This window comes from Homo sapiens, chromosome 3 (assembly GCF_000001405.40).
Source record: "Homo sapiens chromosome 3, GRCh38.p14 Primary Assembly".
Taxonomy (NCBI): Eukaryota; Metazoa; Chordata; class Mammalia; order Primates; family Hominidae; genus Homo; species Homo sapiens.
The window spans coordinates 64,144,300-64,166,813 of NC_000003.12; the positions used below are offsets into that span (position 1 = coordinate 64,144,300).

The 22,514-nt window shown below is 44.2% G+C and overlaps 1 protein-coding gene across 2 annotated transcripts in view, besides 4 other annotated features; it reads right to left on the reverse strand.

Annotated features, from left to right (window-relative positions):
* The window catches only part of PRICKLE2 (prickle planar cell polarity protein 2), a 175,938-nt gene that overhangs the window by 52,064 nt on the left and 101,360 nt on the right, over positions 1-22,514 (reverse strand). For both annotated transcript variants that reach the window (NM_001370528.1, NM_198859.4), the window contains exons 3-7: positions 18,717-18,830; positions 15,641-15,778; positions 12,863-13,066; positions 8,883-9,069; positions 2,531-3,403 (exon numbers count right to left, since the gene is read on the reverse strand). In NM_001370528.1, the coding sequence (NP_001357457.1) occupies positions 2,531-3,403; positions 8,883-9,069; positions 12,863-13,066; positions 15,641-15,778; positions 18,717-18,830 (1,516 nt within the window). The remainder of the gene's footprint in view (positions 1-2,530; positions 3,404-8,882; positions 9,070-12,862; positions 13,067-15,640; positions 15,779-18,716; positions 18,831-22,514) is intronic.
* Positions 6,654-6,948: a silencer, noted in NCBI's record as "tiled region #15033; HepG2 Repressive DNase unmatched - State 8:EnhW". NCBI's record gives its function as "represses a minimal TATA promoter and a strong SV40 promoter by Sharpr-MPRA in HepG2 cells {active_cell/tissue: HepG2}" and the evidence as "EXISTENCE:reporter gene assay evidence [ECO:0000049][PMID:27701403]".
* Positions 12,526-13,027: an enhancer, noted in NCBI's record as "H3K4me1 hESC enhancer chr3:64142501-64143002 (GRCh37/hg19 assembly coordinates)". NCBI's record gives its function as "activates a minimal SCP1, AML or CMV promoter by ChIP-STARR-seq in primed H9 embryonic stem cells {active_cell/tissue: H9 hESC(primed)}" and the evidence as "EXISTENCE:reporter gene assay evidence [ECO:0000049][PMID:30033119]".
* Positions 13,028-13,528: an enhancer, noted in NCBI's record as "H3K4me1 hESC enhancer chr3:64143003-64143503 (GRCh37/hg19 assembly coordinates)". NCBI's record gives its function as "activates a minimal SCP1, AML or CMV promoter by ChIP-STARR-seq in primed H9 embryonic stem cells {active_cell/tissue: H9 hESC(primed)}" and the evidence as "EXISTENCE:reporter gene assay evidence [ECO:0000049][PMID:30033119]".
* Positions 19,334-19,835: an enhancer, noted in NCBI's record as "H3K4me1 hESC enhancer chr3:64149309-64149810 (GRCh37/hg19 assembly coordinates)". NCBI's record gives its function as "activates a minimal SCP1, AML or CMV promoter by ChIP-STARR-seq in primed H9 embryonic stem cells {active_cell/tissue: H9 hESC(primed)}" and the evidence as "EXISTENCE:reporter gene assay evidence [ECO:0000049][PMID:30033119]".

Consider the following 22,514-nt stretch of genomic DNA (forward strand, 5'->3'; position numbering starts at 1 on the left):
GTCCCTCAACCTCTCCATTTCTGTTTCTTCAACTCTGAAATGAGAATCATAACAATATTCCTCCCTCACAGTGTTATGACAATGTAATTAAGCAAGCTAATATTTATGACGTGCTCAGAACAATGTTTGACACATTGCAAGAGCTATATAAAGGTTAGGTGGATACATAAATATCCCAGCACATGGCAACAAGCAGCTGGAGCTGAGCAGTGGCCGTCCCCTTCAAATGGGGCTAACATTATCACAGTCTCTATCCAGACACCATCGGCTATGGAATCCTTGCTGTAAGGGGCAGACGTATATCTCCCTCCTCTGGTACCTTGCCCACAAAGGGGCAGATATACTTAGCACATCTTAGAGCGCTACTCTTCTCAAGCTATCAGTGGTGAAGGACCAGTTTGTTTTCATTTTCAATCCCTTGTGGACCGACATATGGCCCTGCTGAGCATGTCTGAGACACAGCACAAAGCACAAAGAGCTCAGTATGTGAGTTCTATAACACCCTGATGGGTCTATAACCTGATCAATAAGACAAGCCTGCTGAAAACGCACTTGGATGGCACCGCAACATCGAACTGCTATAAGTTTCTAACACTTCCAGTTTCAGTACTAATCTCGCTGCTGATAGGTGTTAAGTACTAATCTCACTGCTGATGGGTGATAGTTCTCAGCCAGTGTTATCCTCAGATTCTGCTTTAAGTAGCACTATCACAGAGAAAATCTACGTTACTCTATTTTTTCCCACATTTAAAAATATTTTTTAAATAATGTTTAAAATATTAAATCAATAATATTAAATTTTTTTTTTTTTTTTTCTAGAGACAGGTTGTCACTCTGCTGCCCAGGCTGGAGTGCAGAGGTGGGATCATTGCTTAGTTCAGCCTCAACTTCCTGGGCTCAAGTGATCCTCCTGCTTTAGTCTCCTAAGTAGCTGGGACTATGAGCATGTGCCACCAAGTCCAGCTAATTTATATATATATATATAATATATTTGTATATATTATATCATATATATTTATATATTATATATACACACAATATATATTATATATGATATATATATACACACGCTATATATTTTATATATATACACACACATATATGTTTGTAGAGACAGAGTCTCACTATGTTGCCCAGGCTGGTCTCCAACTCCTGGCCTCAAGTGATCCTCCTGCCTTGGCCTCCCAAAGTGCTGGAATTACAGGCATGAGCCACCATGCCTGGCCAACATCAGTCTTCCCACGCACACAAAACCAGCTGGACAACTTCACTGGAGAGAGAAGCATGCCATTATCTCTCTCTCTCTACTTCTGTTCTTTTCAGCCTGCCTGTCTTCTCCTTGTCTAGCCAAACATTTCTTATGTCTTTATCTGCACTTTGAAGCCAGTTCCCTGGTGAGAAACAGGTTCAGAACAGTCTCAGAAGCTGTCATGGATGCTTTGGTGCCCCAGGCAGCACCACGCTGGGGCAACTGGGCTCCAGGTGCTGTGAGTACTGCCATCAGCTCACAGCTACACCTTCTCCACCTTCATATGGTACAAGGGGCAAACAAGTTCCCTTGGACCTCTTTTATAAGGGCATTAATCCCATTCATGAGGTCTCCACTCTCATGACTTAATCACCTCCCAAAAGGCCCCTTCTCCTAATGCCATCACCTTGGGATTTAGGATCTTAATTTAAGAATTTTGGGGAAAACATTCAGACCATAGTATTTTCTTTCTTTAATGCTGCCTTTGGCCAACAGGAGCTGCCTTGCCCCAAGCCCACATCCACTATCTCATCCCTTTGTCACTCCTCAGCAGCCCAAAGCTGATGACCAACTAACACGATGGTACAAAACATCAGCCCCTTCGTCACAAGAAGCAATTGATTCTATAGTGCAACTCATCCATCAGAGTCCCCTGTGGGATCAGGCAGAAGCCAGACCCCAGTGAAGACACCATTCCTCACTTGGCTCCTCCCCATGCTCTGTCCTCTTTCTCTCACTCCCCTTCTCCTGAGAGCACTCCCTCAGTACATCACAGGCATCTGGACCTGTCTCAGGCTTTGTTTACAGGGAAGCCCATCAAAGATAGAAGCCATCTCAAACTTGGGTTTACCTTCCTCAGCAGCCTATTAGAAGAGGGCACGTGGCAGAAACAACATTAAAATCCGGAGGACCAGGCTGGGCACGGTGGCTCACGCCTGTAATCCTACCACTTTGGGAGGCCGAGGCAGGTGGATCACGAGGTCAGGAGATCGAGAACATCCCGGCTAACACGGTGAAACACGTGTGTACTAAAAATACAAAAAAATTAGCCAGGCATGGTGGCGGGCACCTGTAGTCCCAACTACTCGTGAGGCTGAGGCAGGAGAATGGCGTGAACCCGGGAGGTGGAGCTTGCAGTGAGCGGAGATCGTGCCACTGCACTCCAGCCTGGGGGACAGAGCGAGACTCCATTTCAAAAAAAAAAAAAATTCCTGGGGACCAGCATCCAGTCACCCAGAGACTACCCCCTTTCTATCTGTTTTCAAGGTGAACAGAACCTACCTGTTGCATTAGACAGGGCCAGGGATTCCATGGAGCCCCGAGGGGTCTGCTCTGTGGGCGTCATGTCCTCTGTGTATTTCAGGGAACTGATGGGATGACGGGTCCGACACTGCTGAGTGGACAAGCCCCCTTCCTCTTCCTCTTCCTCCTCATATTTGGGGACTTGGATGCTGCCTCGGGTCTCACTGAAACTCTGACTAGACATATCACTGTAGCTCTCCTGAGATCTCAGCCTCCCCGGGTAATAGTCTTCTCGGCATTCCTTGATGAAGCTGCCAGCATGTCCTGTCATGGCCAGTGACGAGCTCCTTTTGGGGTTGCTGAAGTGCTTGCCCCACATTTCGGGCTGGGCCCCAGCCCCTTGCCCTCCTGGACTGTAGGAAGTTCTGATGTTGCACTGGCTGAGGAGCTGCAGAGGGCTCTGGGTCTGGTTCTGCTCCATCTTGTTCCCATAATGGTAGGGCTCTTCCCGGCTCCTCCAGATGGGGTCCCGGTTGAGGCTGGGTGTCTGGCTGGACAGGCTGAGCATGTCCATCTGCAGTGACAGGGGGTCTACGTCGGCTGACAGCCGGTTAGAACTCACTTGCAGCTGGCTGTGCTGGTTCAGCATGGGCTCCTCCGTCTTGCCCTTGTTCTTGCCAATTTTGGCACTGCGCCGGGACTCCTTGGCCCTGGCGTTCTGGAAGGCGGAATCAGAGGAGTCAGAACCATTGGGGTCTTCCCCAGCACTGCAGGCCCGTGAGCAGAATATCTGGCCCTGCTTCGGGAGGAATGGCCGCCCCAGGAGGGATTTCTTGCAGTGAGCACAGCAGAAACAGGTCTCAGTGGCATGCCAGTGTTGGCCATCATAGGTCATTTGACCTTGGTCGATACCTAAAAAAATGAGAGACATTGGAGAGGCTGATGAGCTGCTCAGAGCTCTGCACTGGGACGTGAAACACATAGCACCTTGGTTTGTCTCAGGATTCCAGGTGCGGCAGGATAAACTGTCAATAAATCAACAATCAGACCCTTATGTAAATGGTATTCACGTCCTATTACGAGAAGTCCTTGTTGTACCAGTATGCGCCTTAACTCATTTGCTCCAAGCACAAAGACTCTAGGTTAAAATGGCTTGTCTATGAATCCTTCTGCCTGGGACACATTTCCCCCTGACAAATAGCAATAGTAATATTAACGTATGATCATGTACTGCTTTAAGAGCTTTATATATGTAAACTCATTTAATCACTCAGCTCCTTGAGCTAGCTTTCTAATATTATTTGCAGTTTTCACATGAGAAAGTAGAGGCAGATGAGGCTAAGTAACTTGGCAGGGTAACATAACTAGGAACCAGAGACGAGATCTGTACCCAGGAAGTCTTATTCTCAACCATGACATTGACACTATCTCCTTCACTCTAGTTAGGCATCTGCTCAAAAGCCAACTCCTCTGAGAAGTCTTCCTATCCACACTAAATAGTGATTCTCCATTACTCTCCACCCTTACCTGCTGGAGTTTTCTTGATAGCATTAATACCGCTTTACATTACAACAGTATATACATGCATCTGTTTATTATTTCTCTCCCCCGCTAAAAGTGAAGCTCTATGAGGACAGACTCATTGAGTTTCTACAGCATCTCCAGGACCTGGAACATGGCCTGGTGTATGACAGGGCTCTTTGTGTGTAGATAGATCGAGTGAATCCCATTACTAGCATATGCTATTCCAATGGGTAAGTCACAGCAGCAACTCAGTGGATGCTATGGTGAATGTTTTCTTCAGAACTCCTAAGTTTAACACCTAAATCCTAAAGTGATGGCATTAGGAGATGGAGCTTTTTGGGAGGTGACTAGGTCATGAGAGTGGATACCTCATGAATGAGATTAGTGCCCTTATAACAGAGGCCCAAGGGAGCCTGTTTGCTCCTTCCACTATATGATGACTCTGCCAGAAAGTATCATCCAGGAAACAAAAAACAGGCCCTCAGCAGACACTGCATTTGCTGGTGCCTTGAGTTTGAACTTCCCAGCTTTCAGAACTGTCAGCAATACATTTCTGTTACTCAGAGGCCACCCAGTCTGTGCTATTCCGTTAAAGCAGTCTCAACAGACTTAGTGGGAAATAAAAATGTGGATTTCAACTCTTGTTAAGGAAAAATCTGCTTTCGGTAAAGAAAAACCTAGACACGGTATTGCCAAAGCTACTGCCCCTCTGGGAGCGTAAGTACCCTTTGCTTAATTTCATCAGGGAAGGAAGAGGTACGATTCCTCCCTGTGACAGGCCTGCGCCAGGTTTATATAGCCTGGCCACACTGCGTACTAAGGGAGCCTCCCACAGCCCCAGGGGTTCTGCCTTCTCATCATCTCTGCCCTCTTCTGGTTATAGGACTTCCTCTCCCTGTGGGACACCATTTCCCTGCCATCTTCAGGCCGTGAGCTTTGGGTGGGGCAAAAGCTGATCTGGGGCCCAACATAGGCCAGCAAAAAAAATCTGCTCTCCTGGCACCCAGGGACTGATTCAGGGGTGGGCAAGTGACCTGCACTAAGCCAACACCTCTCATTGCTTTTTCTAAGGCAGGACTTTTGCTAAGGCAGTCACACAGCAGGCTCTTTTTATAGCAGCAGTAAAACTGGCAGAATGGAAACTGGGAGCTGCTGGGGCCCCTTCCCGTGGGGAGAGCCTGCTGGGAATATAGCCTCAAGCTATGACTGTAGGGTGGACCAGGACCCCTGCATTCTCCTGATGCGTAATGATACACGGCTTCCCAGAAAAAGGGACTAATGTGGCCTTTATCTTCAGTGGCTGAGAGTTCCTGAGCCTGGACTTTCAAGGAAGAACTTCTGGAGACTTGTCTAAAGAGGCAATGAACCAGAAATTAGGGAGAAGAAGAGAATTGCAAGAACAAAAGGCCACCGGCCCAAGCAGCCTACCTTTCTCCTCCCTGACTCACTTTTGTGTCAATGGAGCCCAGGGAGAGAGGAATGAGGGCAATTCTTCTCGTATTAGCTCTTTCCCAAACTATGGGGTTCTCTTTTCATTTTGAAACCTGGCCTTAGAGACTAAGAGGGGATTTTTTTTTATAGGGATAGGAGCAGCCACAAGGGTCACCCCAAGTGGGAGACAGGAAACTGTGTGAATCAACTGAATCAACTCCATCTTTTTTTTTTTTTTTTTTTTTGAGACGGATCAACTCCATCTCTTACAGCACCAGTGCTCCCCAGCAGAGTGAGAAATAACCAGCTGGGGCGGGGCTAGAAACAGACAACCCCGAGCGCCGTGGACACTTCCTCCCCAGACCCTTGGGAGAAAGCTGAGGCAGACATCACAGGGACATGGGACTCTGTAGTAGTTAAGCATAAGCCTTCAGGACTCTGATGAACACAGGTTCAAATCCCAGCTCCATCCCACAGCAGCTGGTTGTAAAGATGCTGACGGCCATCTGCTTGGGTTCAAATCTTGACTCTGCTGCATTCCAGCTGTGTGACCCTAGGCAAATTGCTTCATTTCTCTTTGTTTTGGTCTCCCCATCAGTACAATGGGGATAATCATAGTACTTGGTAATGGAGTTAACATGCATGGAGTGCTGAGAACTGGGCCTACTGACCACTCTTCTTTTATTGCGTTAGGTCTGAAAGCCTGCCTCTCTCTTCGCTGAGGGTCACTGCCCAGATGCATTCCAAGAAATAACTAGGAGGCTGCTCTGTCTCTCCTGCCCTCTCCCACCCTCCTTCTTCCTCCTCCTTCTTCTCACTCCCTTTCTCAAATGCCAAGAGTGCAGAGAGCTCATGATGGCATCCCTGGGTCCTTTGGTGAGCTCTAATCAGCACAGCATCCAGAGCAGCTGCGGCTATCCCCACTCCCTGTTAGAGGTACACAGGAAGTCCAGTCCCTCTGGTCTGTCTGCCACCAGCTGCTTCTCCAAGCTTTGGCAAGCACACATGCTCAGATGCAGCAGCAAGGGCCTAGTTCCTCGGGATGGGGGCCTCATGGAAGGAAGGGCTCAGTTTGGGAGAGTGGAGGGGAGGCATATCATAAAGCGGCCTGGCAGGCAGCAGAACGTGGTCCCCGATAAACATCGATGTCAGATGGTCCTCTGAACTGCTCCTGAACTCTAAACATCTGGAAAAGGGCTCTGCTGTTCGACATCTAAGCGTTCTTTTTTTATTCCTTCTCTAAGCCCTTTAAGTACTTCTTGGAGGGTGTGTGTGTCTACTGCTGCCACAGCCTCGGTCTGTTTATAGGACTGTTTACTCTGCTGTGCACAGGCAAAAGTACCGTTGCCCTAGCAACGGCTGCCTGACGCAGGGCCTGCTCTGAGCGGCTGTATAAATATGGAATATTTGTACAGTATGGTCAGAGGTAAAGCACCCAGTGACTGAGGTATGCATGCTATATAGAGTGTGCTCTTTCACTGTCACAGGAAAATTATGTTTGGTAAAAAAGTGGATTTAAAACAAACATTAGGGACAGCATTTTAACTACAGCAGCAATAATACTGCAGGCCACCATGGTCACCTTTTCTGATAAAACACTGACACCCTTTAATGGATTTAATAGGAAAGGAGGAGAGAATGCCAATAAATGTGCTGGGCAGCCAAAGGGCGAAAGAAAGAGAAGAAAACCGAGGGGCCATCTGAGGTGTACATGCTGCAGCAACAGAGAGATTTTTTCTCTCTGCCAAGTACTGAGCAAAAATTCTAAGTGGCAGTTTCTGGAGAGGCTCTTAGCCTCCAAGGACAGAAACAGGAAAAACAGAAATATGGATGGGAAGGGGTATTGTTGCCATGGGCTGGTATTCTGCACACATGGCCCCTCTCATCTGAGCAAGTGTGCACTTGCAGACTTGAATCCTCGGTTGGGCAATACTGAGTCAAGACATTGCACCATTTTCCCTGACACTGTCCTACCTCTCCCCTTCCACACACGTCTTGTCACTTGTCACAACTGATCTTCGCATTTCCTAACTCTTAGCAAAAAGAAGGTTTATCTGTTTGACTACTTTGATCTTGTGAGACATGAAAGCTCCTGGGTACTGAGTTGAAGCAACAGGCTGTGAGAGGGGTGAGGTTTTTAGGGGTTAGGGGATGGGAAATTTGCCATCACCTAAGCCCCCAGAAGGAAATGCAGCTGAACAGAGGTCTTCACAGCAGAGCTTAAGCCCAGGCCTGAGCATGTGGGACAAGAATGCCCAATGACAAAGCACCGTTGAGCACACGCTAGCTGTCTTGTCCACAAAGCCAGGGTTTTTATCAGCACACAGAGCTCTCCAAATACTAGCTAATTTTTTTATTTGAATACATCACTTCTTATGAACCAAGAAAACAAAGCCACTTTTTTTGGTCCTGATAAAACCTTTTAAGTGGGGCAAAATGGGCTCCAAAATGGATTATCTCTGTATCTCCTCACTCTAGGTAAGAAATCGGCAGCTTCTGAACAGACTTCTTGGGATTGCACAAGCCACTGGATGATCTGGCTGTGATCTCACAGACATTCAGCCACTGCCAACTTTTTTATTCCCTCCAAGGTTGGCTCCTTCCCAAGGTGCCAGAAAAGGCAAGTTGAATGAAGAAGCCACAATGCAGTATGATCTGGAACAGCGTTAAAGGGTTGAACAAATTGGGTATTTGCAGAGGGAAAATGATTTTCACCATCTCAGATCTGCCACTTATTGGGGGAGTTAATAGTTTATGGACTATTTGAAGTTCATTTGCTTTGCATTTGGCTGGAGTAGCTTTTGCTATTTTTTTTTTTTTAAAGACATACTTGCCAGAAGCCACTGGGTTTCCTTGACAATCCCTCTCCACCAAGAGACCACTTTGGTTCCTCCTCTGCAAATCCCCAACTTGTCCCAAGGAGGCTATGGAAGATATCTGTTTAGATTTTCCTTCTGAGCTTCCCCCACTGCCCTGAGCCTCGGTTGTGGGACTGTATGGCACATAGTCCCCACTTGGAGGTGGGCCCTTGACCAAAGCAAGGCTGAAAAGATTCTTATTTGGAAGAACTGACCTGAAAACTGGAAGAGACACAGTTCCTCTCCTTTTGAGAATGCAAATACTAAGACTAGTATCACTAGTGAGTCATCTCGACCATTAGGTGAAGACAGCTTCTCCCAAATGATGTTAACAGAAGGCAAATTAAGCTGAGATACAGAGAAAAAAATCGGTTTTGTCTGAACCCTTGATCCACCCCTATCTGAAGCTAGTATACTTCTTGGCCTTTCTAGTGTCATGAATCAAGAAATTCCCTTTTTCAGTTAAGTTAGCATGAGTTGGGTTTCTAACACTTGCAATCAAAGATACTTTAACTACACCCAAAACAAAGGTGACCGCATCACAGAAGGACCAAGCTGACTGCCAAATATTGCCTCACCTATATGTTGGGCACAGGTGTCACAATATTCTGCATACAAGGACTCGAAGCAGTGGCAACAGTAGGGTCTTCCCTCCTTCATGATGTAGCGCTGGCCGCCCAGCACTGTCTCACACTCGAAGCAGCAAAAGTGTTTCATGTGCCAGTGTCGCCCCTCAGCTTCTGTGCATTCATCTGCAAAGATGATCTGGAGATGGGGAAGCCAAATGGTCAGTGTGTAAAACCCATCCAGAACATATTTTAAAGGAAGAAAGCTATGGGGTCCTTGAACTAGAAGGGTAAGAAAGCAGATCCTACTCACAAATAATTAAACAAAAATCCATATGGATATGTTTATTCTGTATGTATATCAGTTCCTATACATGGATTTACCTAAAGCATAATTAAACATGATTTCTGGCCTAGCCAGTAATTAACTTAACCACATTTAATAAGAGAAAGAATGTTCTACCCTGGAGAATATAAGGCAGGATCAAAAACTGACAGCTCACAGGCACATTGGACATACATATCTGCTTCATTTGGCCTGGCCATATTATTTTTTTAAATGGAAAATATCATATTAACACTTGTAATCCTGGTTTATCTTTTGAAAACACAACATTTGCAATGCTCAGTGCACATTCCTACATGGCAGTAATAAACTAGAGCTAAGAAGAGAGGCTGCTGCTTTCCAATGAGTGGCAAGTTCTCCAGTTTGTCATATTCTTCACCCTTCCCTATTGCCTTAAAATAAGTCACCTTCATTTACAGCACCTGCCAGGCCCTCACAAGTGTTTGCATTTTCCCCCAATATAGAGTTTTTAAAATTTCAAAGCACAGATTTCAAAATTTACTATAAAGCTACAGTAATCAAGCCAGCATGGCACTGGCATAAGGCTGGGCATATAGATGAATAGGTATCCAGATTTAAACTCATACATACATGGTCAATTAATTGTTGAAAAGGAGGCCAAGACCATTCCATGGGGAAAAGAATAGTTTTCTCAACAAACAGAGCTGGGACAACAGGAGAGCCTCATGTAAAATAATGAATTCAAACCCCTACCTTACATCATACATAAAAATTAACTCAAGGCTGGGTGCGGTGGCTCACACCTATAATCCCAGCACTTTGGGAGGCCGAGGTGGGTGGATCACAAAGTCAGGAGATTGAGACTATCCTGGCTAACACAGTGAAACCCTGTCTCTATTAAAAATACAAAAAAAAAAAAAATAGCCAGGTGTGGTGGCGGGCACCTGCAGTCCCAGCTACTTGGGAGGCTGAGGCAGGAGAATGGCGTGAACCTGGGAGGCGGAGCTTGCAGTGAGCTGAGATCGTGCCACTGCACTCTAGCCTGGGTGACAGGGTGAAACTCCATCTCGAAGAAAAAAAAATTAATTCAAATGGGTTTAAAGAGCTAGGGGCAAAAAAACAATAAAACGCTTAGAAGAAAACACAGGTGTAAATCTTTATGATCTTGAACTAGGCAATGGTTTCTTAGATATGATGCTAAAAGCATAAACAACAAAAAATAACGTAGACTTCATCAAAATTAAAAACTTTATGCTTCAAAGGACATCATCGAGTAAGTGAAAACACAGCTATAGAATGGGAGAAAATATTTGCCAATCATCTATCTGATGATGGACTAGTATACAGAATATATACAAATCACTCTTACAACTCAATAATGAGAAAAATAGGCCAAGTACAGTGGCTCACACCTGTAATCCCAGTGCTTTGAGAGGCTGAGGTGTGTGGATCACATGAGGCCAGAAGTTTGAGATGAGCCTCACCAATATGGTGAAACGCCATCTCTACTAAAAATACAAAAATCAGCTGGGCATGGTGGTGCATGCTTCTAATCCCAGCTACTCAGGAGGTTCGGTCAGGAGAATTGCTTGAACCTGGGAGGTAGAGGCTGCAGTGAGCCAAGATCATGCCACTGCACTCCAGCCTGGGTGACAGAGTGAGACTCTGTCTTAAAAAAAAAAAAAAAAAAAAAAGGGAAAAATAACCCAATTGAAAAGGTAGTCAAAAAATTTAAATTAAAAAAATTTTTTCAGACATTTCTCTGAAAAAGAAGATACACAAATATCTAATAAACACATGAAAAGATGCTCAACATTATTAGCTGTTGGGGAAATATGAATCAAAACCTCAATGTGATACTACTTCATACCCATTACGATAGCTATAATGAAAAAAAAAAACAGATAATAACAAGTATTAGTGAGAAAGTGGACAAATTGGAATCCTCATTCATTGATAGCAGGAATGTAAAATGTTATACTTGTTTTGGAAGACAATTTGGCATTCCCTCAAAAAGTTAAACTTAGAATTATCATATGACCCAGCAATTCCACTCCTGGGTATACACTCAAGAGAACTAAAAATATATGTACACACAGAAATGTTCATAGCAGCGTTGTTTAGAGTAGCCAAAAAGTGGAAACAACTTAAATGTCCATCAATTGATACATGGCTAGACAAAATGTGATACATACATACAACTGAATATTATTCAGCCACGAGAAGGAATGAAGTACTTACATATACTACTATATGGATTAACATTGGAAACACGCTAAACGAAAGAAACCAGACTTGAAAGGTCACATATGATTTCACTTATATGAAATGTCCAGAACATGTAAATCCACAGAGACAGAAATAGATTAGAAGTTGCCAGGGGCTAGGGAAAGGGGGAAATGAGGAGTGACTGCTAATGGATAAAGAGTTTCTCTTTAGTTGATGAAAATGGTCTGGAATCAGCAGTGATGGTTGCACAGCTTTGTGAATATACTAAAATCCACTGAATTATTTACTTTAAAAGGGTCCTTAATGCTATGCAAATTATATCTCAATAAACAAATTTCAAAGTGTGTGCTTCAATCATATTCTAATTGCCATTAGACAACACAAAGCTGTATTCTGAGCACCAATTTTCAGATGTGGAAACTGAGGCATGAAGGTCAAAAGGTGTTCTAGAACCACAGAGTTGGACCTGAATTTAGTTTTCCAGCTATCTTTCTAGAAGGTCTCTCCAGAACATCACCATTAGTGTTAGAATTCAAATTAGTTGAGCCTGATCAGCTTCCTCCTAGAAAGTGAGTCCCTCGTAGGTAGTTTGTAAGAAAGAAATGCCCATGTAACAGTAGGCTGTCTGGCTGAAAAAGGGGAGTGTTACTTACCTCCCACACTGCTATTTACAGAGAAAGATAGATGCAAAAAACTCCTTTGCACAGGAGGAAACCTCTGTCTAGGACTTTTACCCAAATTATTCCCATAAAAGTGGTCAGATTTAGAACATTCTTTTTTCTGCTCCCAACTTATAAAGCTAAACCAGGTTTTCTATTCTGTCAGCTTACACGGTAGGGTGTGCTTCTAGTAGGGGAAGAAGGCCAGGCAGAGGTTTTGCGTTCTATCCTGCTTTCTTACATAGGGTACTTCTTAGAGCATGGGGCAGAGACATCCAAATGAAGTATCCATCTGCCTCCTGAATTTTTTTTTCACTCAGAACTTTTATAAACTGTAGAAAAATCAAATAATGCTACCTATTTTCTCTTTTCTAATCATTTTGCAGCAGTGAATCTTGGAAAATGAAACAATTTTAAGATATAAGTGGCACTCCATTACTGATTATTCCATGAGATTAGGGTTAATATCTAAAGATGCACAATGCAATTTTGTTTTGTTTTGTTTTTAGGGTTCTGAACTTACTTAGGGCCAGTTATATGTCACTTGGGGATCTTCATGGATACAGAAACTGCCTTCCCAACAGGAAGCTATGAGACCTCCACGCTCAGTAAAGCAGGCCGCAACCCCAGACATTCTAGAAACCAGGGATGGGTGGGGCTTCTCTCCCAAAAGGGTTAATGCAAGAAAATGAAGTTGCCTATGGCTTTCTTCAGTGCAGAAAGCCAGAAGACCATGTGTTGGCTATGGTGCAATGAAGGGGTGATGGGCAGGTAAACCTGCTGGAGTTTGCTCTAACCTCATCGCAGGCAGCACAGCGCGGCTTCAGGCACTCAGCATGGTGCCTGCCACAGTATATCTTCCCATCTTGGTAAAAGTAGATCAGATCCACCAGGAGCTCATTGCAGACAGTGCATACGAAGCACGGCGGGTGCCAGCAAACGCCGTGGCCAGCGCGTGACGCAAACACAGCGATGTCTCCACCATTGATCTGGCCTCCGCACTGTGAGGCAAACAGAAACATCAGTAGTCACACTAGCCCCCATCTCCCAGTGCTGTGCATAAATGATAAAGGACAACCACCATTAGCTGGCTACTGAGTGCTTATGTTCAAAGCAGTCACTATGCTTCCTGCTTTACACAGGCAGCAGGGCAGGTTTTTCTTGTCCTCCCTGAACTCTCCTTTCCTAAGGCTTACAAATAATGTAGAGAGAAAGTCATTGGGAGAATGAGGAATCACAAAGGTGGGAAAGAAAGAAAAGCTCTTTTAGCACAATAACGTACAGGGGCTCTGCAGGCAGGAGGCAAACTGGCACAGAGGAAAGCCTCATTATCTTTTAGATACTTTAAACTCCATGCAGAGACACAGCCAGGTTTAACACCACCAGGAGTGGCTGGGGAGGGAGGTGGGTGGGAGGACGGGGCTTGGAGGAGGTGGGACCTATACTTTTATATGGGAGGGAGGGTGGATACATAACAGCACGCTCACCTTTAACTACCTTCTCTGTGTGCCTTTCAGGCATGCTTTTAGTCTGCTTCCTCTAACATCTTTCTACATAGTCTTGATTGACACGGCACCACTTCTAAGGCCAAACTATGGAAAGGGTTTCTTCCTATCCCTTCCCTACCTTCTCACTCATTTTCTCAAGTTCCCTCTTGATCCTAAAAGAAACAAGGCAGAATCACTGGCCACCTATGCTTACAGTTGGGGTTGGGACAAAAAGAATATGGTTTGAGGGACTCTGAGGGAAGAATAAAATGTGGAAAGTAGGTCTAGGGAGATGCTTCTGCTGACCATGGCATGGGCCTTGAGGTTCACAGGTTGAGTATAGTTCTAGGGTCATACAAGAGTGGCTGAGCTCAGGGGACAATGTCTAAAGAGCAGAGAAGCTACCACCAAATCTTTCCCATGCTATGCGTTGAAATGTATCTTAGAAAATGAAGTAAAGACCTCACAAACAGTCTCTGGGAACTCATCCACGTGTGTGACTGGACAAAAGAAAGGCATCATGTTATCCTTACCTTCCGTGATAATGTTAGCAGAGCTAAAGCATGCAGACATAATCCTATATAACCCTCACATGAGTCATCATTCATCCATTCTATAGATGACAAAACCAAGGAAAAGTAACACGGTCAAGGTCATCTGGAAGAAACATGAGTCAAACTTATGAAAGCTCTTTCTGCCTTCACACTCTTGGCACTATTCTACACAATTCTTGGCACCTGCCCACAAAATGCCCAACCTTCCTTCTCCCTTAGGCAAACTCAGCTTGCCTGGTTCCAGGAGACTGATCTGAGAGGAGCAAGGATTTCACCTTGCCTGGATGGAGCACAGTGAATCTCAGATCACAACCACTGACCACCTGTACCTTAAGGGTGGGTCCCAGATATACTTCATAAGAATAAAGATCCCACTGCCAAATCTCTGGTCAATTAGCTACCCCATCCCATATAACTGAACCTTCTCACTCTACCCCTCTGAAATCTCAAAAAAGGGCCTCAAATGACATCTGCTTCCCTTGGGCAGCATCCCACCTCCTCTTCTTTGATCCAGTTAACATATCTTCAGCTCTCAAGGGGTCTACGCAGAGCTTAAGGAGTTAGATAGGAATGTTCAAAAAGCTGTAGGACTTAGAGAAGTACCAAGAATGACGATCAGCACTGGAAAGCCTGTGGCAGCTGAGAGGTGGGGCAAGGTGTGTTCCCACCCTGCAGTCTCTAAAACTCTTCTTCACCACACCCTGAGCACTCAACAGGAGCAGAGGAGACAGGAAATCCAGAATCTTGAACGCAGTGAGGTCCCAGGGAGAATGCCTCTTCACTCCCCTGAACCCACTCTCACCTGTTCACAAATAGCTCCTGTCAACATGACTCGGAAGGGCTTCATGCACTTCAATAAGGAACTCTCAATTCTCAGGAGAAGATCATTTACCTCCCCTTTAAATGGCTCTCGTTCTGGGATGATCCTGGGAGGGAGGCTGACCCATGGCCCAAGCCAACTCCATTTTCTAAAGGTCTCTTTTTAAAACATAAATCCATCATGCCATTGCTCTGCTCAATTCTTCCAATGGCTCACCCAGAACTCTGACTTTATCTGAATTATCTCCCTTCACTCCCTCTGCCCCAGCCCATTGGCCAACTCACTGTTGAACATAATAGACACCCTCCTGTCTCAGGGCCTCTAAGCCGGTCATTCCTTCTGCCTTAGCATTCCCTCTGCCCTAAAATCTGCAAGACTCTCTCCCTCTTGCACATCTGTGCACATCTTTGCTCAGATCTTCTAAGTGGGGTCTTCCCCATCAACCTTCCTTAAAACTGCAGCCTCCCCACACTTCCAGTACATTCAAGTCTCCTTCCTTGCTGTATCTTTTTCTATTTTGTTGATTACATATATTGTCTGACTTCCTCCCCTAGAATCCAACTCCTTAGAAGGGCAAGATGAAACTTTCCCGTCTTTTGTTCACTACTGTATCTCAGGCACATAGTAGGCACTCAGTAAAACAATTGTTGGATGAATGAATGGGTGAAAAGATGCCAGAACAATGCCTCTTCACTCCCCTGAATCCATGCTTACCTGTTCACAAATAGCTCCTGTCATGGTGACTGGGAAAGGCCTGACATTCCCGCGGCCCAAGTTTTCGCGTTTCCTCTGGCTGCTGAAAAGCTTCAGCTCCCTCTTCTCTTCCTCATCCAGGGAGTTGCAATATCGAACCTGAATAGACACAGACAATGGCATGGAAAAAGTCACCCTTGCTCCTTAAGATTTCTGAAGCCCATGACTCTGAGTTTTCTCGTTAAATACACTCTCATTTGGTTTTATAGCCCTCGCCTGAACTTTAACCACAACAGCCTTGGAGAGATTTAAGGTGAGTCTCTACTAAGGTGAGTCTCTACTAAGATTGCGGACAGCCAAAAGAGCTTACCAAAGGCTCTGAATTCTGGATCCCAAGCCTTGGGCAGGCTAAAGGTGCCTGCTCCTTATCCTGACTGCCTCACTCTGCTCACCATGTTAAGATCAAATCATCTGGGGTGGCTCAGCTGCCAGGAAAGAGCTGAGAAGTTCTCCTTCTTCCAAACTGCAGGAACCTGATACTTTCATCTCCATGTGCCCATGCAAGTGATCCTTGACACCAAGAATGACTCTAAGTCAGTGAGCCAGAGCAGGTGTCCACGTGCTCACAGCTTCTGTTCTCCCGTCTCATTTTGGAAAAACAGGGAAACAAAGGTGTGAGCCTGAGGAGTTGGACCAGGCATCTGTGATGCTGCACAAAAGTCTCTGCATGTTTATCTTTGTAGAGAGAGGAACAAGCTGCCTGCTAGACTTCAGTTGAGTCGACTTGCAAGAGACATTTTCCTTCTTGTTAAATATAGAAACTCAGAGAATTAAAGGAGGAACATTAAAGATAATTTGAATCCAGTATCTCCCCTTACTTATGCACACCTTGGGAATTGTGCTATATTCTTGCACTGTTATTTACTCAATGCTGTTTTTAATACTGACTCAGTTTTTTGGAAACTTGGATGCATTTATTTCAAAAGAAAGTATAACTATAAATGGAAAACCAATATCACCCGTAAAAACAAAAACAAAAACAAACAAACAAACAAACAAACAAACAAAAAAACCAGAAGAAACCTAAATAGACTGGGAACAGAACCATGTTGTTAGATTCTAGCTGGTCACTTTGCTTGCAGGAAATCCTAAAACAGAGATCCCTGACGCTCCTACTTAAAAGTGGAGGCCAGTGTGAGTTAGAGAGATATGAGACACCTGCTAGCACTAAATTGAAATTTCCTCCTTGATTATTCAACTACTCTATCACAAGGAATACAATACAACTTAAAATATAGTAACTCTCTCAATATGTGGTTTCGTTTCATTTACTGCCATGTCCACATAACACTCAGAGTCATGTATATACCACACTTTGGGAAACACGGTCCTAATCCCGTCTCCTGTTATACTTTGGAGTAATCTGGACATCAGAAAGGTTAAGTGAATTGCTTGGATGATTTGTTACACAGATGGTTAGAGGGAAACCTTGGAACTAGGACTGTCACATCCTAATTTGAAAACCAGGACAGCTGTGGATATCAAAATTGTCTTATCTATGCAAAAAAGAAAATGGTCAAATATTTACTTTAGAATCACAATCACCCTTTGTCTTCAAAAGAGCCATTTCAAATAGGCTAAATCTGCCCACTGGGTCACACACACACAATTCCTACCAATGGGACATTGTAATCTGAATGGTGTCTCTTTTCATAAAAGCACAGTTAACCATAAACACAACAAACCACTAAAATCAGAGAAGAGCCAATCCCTTCTCTCTGTCAAATAAAAAGAGTTAAAAAAAAAAAAAAAAAAAAGTCTCCATGTAAACGTCCCAGAGAGAACTGCAGTGACCTGAACAGCCCAGAATATATGGTTACACCACTGACATTTTAGGGACATGCTTTCAAAGGAAGGCACACCCTTCCTGCTTGTAAAAACCCGCATTTTCACTTCCAAATTAGTTAACCAGGCATCAGGTTACAATGCTTGCTCTCAACTTTAAAGGAGAAAGCATTATTTATATTTGCTTTATGATGTCTGAAATAAGCAGCAGTAAAGAGGATCATAGCTCTCTTTTTAGGGAACTGCTTCAGTTTTAAAGTTTTTGTCCTGCTTACTCAAATTTATTTTTGAGGCTCTCAAATGATCCCCTTTCATTCTAATGTGGGAAAATAAGACTGAAAAGCACTCATTTCCCCTGGGACGGAGCTGCTGGGATTCAGCTCGTGGGTTGGAGAGTTGGTAGAAAGCTGGTGCCCAGCTCTCTAAGGGGGTTATTTCTCCTATCAATTAAAAATTACATTTTTGTTTTAAATGCAGTCAGAGTCAAGTAGACAGTTCAGTTCCATAGGATTACTATTTTGAAAAACCAGTTACCTAAAAATGAATTTCTAGCATGTAAACTGACTTCCCTTCCAGCATAATGATCTTTGAAAACCATGTTTACAAATTTCTCTTTATGAGCAATCAGATTTCGAGGATAAGAGATGCCCGCTTACAGTGCCATGTTTCTGGGTTCAGAAAAAAGGACAGTCTGCTAGTCCACACTTTCAAGAGTACAAAGAACAACCTCAGCAAGTCAGACTTCACCATGACAAAAACACAGACGTTCGAAGCTACAAATCTGGACATGTAATTCTCCTGCAGTGTAGTGTGGAAAACTTGCACGCTCATTTAATATGAAATGATGCCGAAAATTCAGGAGAGTCACAAAGCTTTTGTAGGACTTGAAGTGGTCCAGGGGATCTCAGTCATCTCTCCAAAATACACAGGAAACCCACATGGCATATTCTTCAAGTAAGAAAACTTGGAATCATAGCTTTTGAATTTTAGTGCTCCCTGGCTACCCCCAAATAGCTAGTAGTGCCAGGCATAGAGGCCAATCCAGTTTATAATGAGATTCTGCTTTTTTAGTAATACTCTCTAGAAGTAAATTGTTGGCCAGTTTATTTTGGCCCTAATTAAGGAAGCTAAAACCTAAAATAAATTGCCAGAGTTCTTCTTCGGCTACCTCATTGGTGGCAGATTATGAAAAAGGTAACAATTCATAGAAGGCACTAAGAAAATTCTGCATAAGCCCCCTCTAGCCCCTTACCTCATTGTCATGTGGCGGCAGCTGGTGTAGTAGCTGCTTGATTCGCAGTTTCTCTCCAGGACTGTTGACATAAGGGACTTTCTCTTCTGGGAGACAGCTATAGTACTGGTGTACCTGAAGGACAGAAAGCATATAGATGACTTGCCCATTACTCAAACCATGTGCCTATTCCCACTTACTGGGAAGATGATTCCCCCAGCAGGATGTAACTGACTTCTGCAGTCCTGACTCTTTATGAAAGTCAACAGCAGATGAGTTTCCTATGGTAAGCAGAGAAATTCATCCTTAAAGCAAGAGTCAGGCAAATCATCCATATCTGGGATTTTTCCCTCTCTCTGTGAGGGAAAAATAAAGCTAGTAAATTTTCCTAGAAACAGAGAATTCAGCAGACATGCTGGTGAACCAGAGGGTAGGGCTTTCTCGGCAGACTCCCCTGAGAGCTGGCTTTACCATTTTCTCTGTTAGTCTCCAGCATATGACGTGCCTCCCTAGCCAAAGGGATATGTCAGCACCTGCCTCGGCAATGGAGTTAAAGCCAGTCTTTGGCACTCGGCAAACCCCTAGGTACCTCAGCCTCCACCTACATTTAAAGCCCTCCAGGTTTCGAGACTTTTGTAAGGCAGGCAGCAGCTGACATCCATCAGAAATAGACTCACTAAATCTGGGATGCAGAGCATGTAATTAAAAATTGTCACTAACATGAGGATTTTTGCACATCCCACAACATTCCTGTTTACGACTGTTAGGACATATTCTTGTACTTTATGAGGCTCATTCAACCCTAACAACTGGGGAAAGCACCAAGCAGCTAATTTTGCCTGAGAAAAGAAAACAGACATTCCACCATTCAGCCACATGCAAAACTAGAGAGAAAAAACTGGCTAATACAGAAGGTATGTTATTATATAGGAGAGGCAAAAAAAAAAAAAAAAAAATCCCACAAGCCCAGATGACATCATGGAAAATACTCTCAAGTATCTCTTATTTAACGACATGAGCACCTCTTGCGAAACAAGGCATTCATTCAACAAATGGAGAAGATGGAAGACTGAGGGCTCTGAAAGTCATCATATTTGGCCAGGCATGGTGGCTCACACCTGAAATCCCAGCACCTTGGGGGGCTGAGGCGGGCGGGAGAACCACCTGAGGGCGGCAGTTTGAGACCAGCCTGGCCAACACGGTGAAACCCCGCCTCTACTAAAAGTACAAAAATTAGCCTGGCCTGGTGGTGCATGCCTGTAATCCCAGCTACTCAGGAGGCTAAGGCAGGAGAATTGCTTGAACACACCACAGCCTGGGCAACAGAGCAAGACTCTTTCTCAAAAAACATCAACAAAAATAAAAAAAAAAAAATTTGTTACATTCTACAAACTTGGTCTAAACTTGGTCTAATTCCTTTGCATTTAGGGAGCCGTGGGTATGAACACATGTTTTGGGAATGCTGGGGTGAAGAGGTGCGAAAGCTCTGTCTACTTTGATCTCCAGAAACTAAGTCATAAATGTTAGAAGAGGGGGTGAAAAGGCTTTGTAATGACAAGGCCTTAAAAAATGTGAAAGCTATCTTTATTTTCATAACTAATGATGGTAACCATTAACCATCATGTGCCTATCATCCTTTTAATCAAATCCCAGAGGCAACTATAAAGAGAATTCTTGTCCTAGACTAGCTAGATTTCCAAAGGCAGGGTCTGTATAAGCCCCTCCCTATAGGCAGCTGGCAGAGAGCTATGCCCAGGGGCAATAATGAATGATGCCGGGTTCTGAAGAGAGCCCACTGTTGACCAGTACTCTGAGAAGAAGTAAAAGCCCAGATCACTAGTTAGTTTGGGATTAGAAGCTGGCAATTTGCCTATTAGAGACTTGCACAGCATTCCATCCTCAGAAAAGTCCCTGTGCCATATGCCTCATCAGACAAAGGCCAGGTATAAAAAAGCACGCCCAGTCTCATGTCTTGGGGAATGGGCTTCTGACTCCCAAGTCAGAAGACTGCTTGTAGAAAGGCCTTGTTCCATCATTACTTTGTCATTCTCCCAACTTCCATTGTCGTTATGGAACATTAGGGACAATTGCTAATATGAGATGAATTACTATGGATGCTTGAAAATGCAGAGTCTAGTTGCGGTTCCATCGACCCTCCTCTTAATCACCTCTAATTACTCACATACCCCCTGTCCATTGCCTAGAGCACAGTCAGGCCTGAGAGCCCTTCTTAACTGGTACTTTGAACCAAGCCCTTTCTGATACTGTCTAAGGCTGGCCCAAGTTGGAATCTTCCCTGCACCCTCTAGGGCATGGCCAGTAGATCTGGACCCCGAGTCAAGGCTCTGTTGTTTCCCATCTCTGGGTTCCTGAGCAAGTTATGTGGCTGTTCAAAATACTCATCATAAGACTGTGATGATTAAATGAGAGTGTAGGCACAAGCATGTGGCTCTTAATAAAAATAAATAACACGAATACATGACAATAGTTATACTATCAAGCCTGGCCTACTCTAAATGGAACAATCCAGATGCTTCCTGGACTAGGTCTTGCTCTGTCACCCAGGCTGGAGTACAGTGGCGCGGTCATGGCTCACTGTAGCCTTGACCTCCTGGGCTTAAGCACTCTTCCCACCTCAGAGTAGCAGGAACTACCAGCGCATGCCACCATGCCTGGCTAATTTTTAAAATATTTTGGAGAGACAGGGTCTTGCTATGTTGACCAAGTTGGTCTTGAACTCCTGGGCTCAAGCTATTCTCCTGCCTTGGCCTTCCAAAGTGCTGGGATTACGGGTGTGAGCCACCCCATCAGGCCCACTTTTGAATGGGCAGCAACACTGCTGGCTTGTAGAGTGAGACCAAACCCTGAAGCCACTTATATTAGTCAAAGCAAGAAAAATACGTTGCAAGGAATACAATGGTATTAAAGCTAGTTTGACTTCAGGGGAAAAATGGCAAACTGTTATAAAGGTGTGTGTGTGTGTGTGTGTGTGTGTGTGTGTGTGTGTGTGTGTGTGTGTGTTTTGTTTTGTTTTTGTTTTTAGAAACTTAGCCATGTATATAAAAGGGTCTCATGAGGAAATAGAATATGCCACTGGAAGGTGATTGTACCAAGTTTCTGTTCTCTCTGAGCCCAGTGTCCTCTTACCTCTGCTCTCTTCTCTTCCTGCAGATCTGCTTCTCACCTTCTCAAAGGTTAAGGTTTCCCACAGCACTTGAGTTTGCACAGCATCACTTCAAGAGTCTGTCCTAGAGTGACTCGCTTTTCTCAATTCCAAATTCCCCAGAGAAGGACCCTGATTACCCTGTCTTGGGCAGCGTCCACACCCAGAAATGAGATTAGAGACATTCAGTACTTTGAAAACTGGAGAATAAATGAATCCCAACATGACATGACTGAGTGAAGGTGCAGCCAGCAGTGATGGAGGACTCTGGAGAAACTTAGGAGTAAATAAGTCCCTTGGTGTGCTGAGATCCATCCTAAAGACTGAATTCTGAAGTCAACAGAGGCAGTGACTACTCTTTGGGAACACAGCTCTATCTTTCCTGGACATCTTTTGTCAACTTTTATAATTCAAGCCTACTGATAACCACTCAAAATTATTCCAGTAATTCCTCAAATATACAATATGCTAGAATATCTTCTCACAAGGTAACTAATAATTTGATGGATGACTTAAGAACTTACCTAGGTAGCAAGATGCCCCATTTCTAAAATAAATAAGTTAATATTAATTAACAACCTACCAAATCACTCCCATATCACATGGTAGGTGATGTGGCTTGCTCTGAGGAAGGAGAATGATTTAGTCCTTTCAGG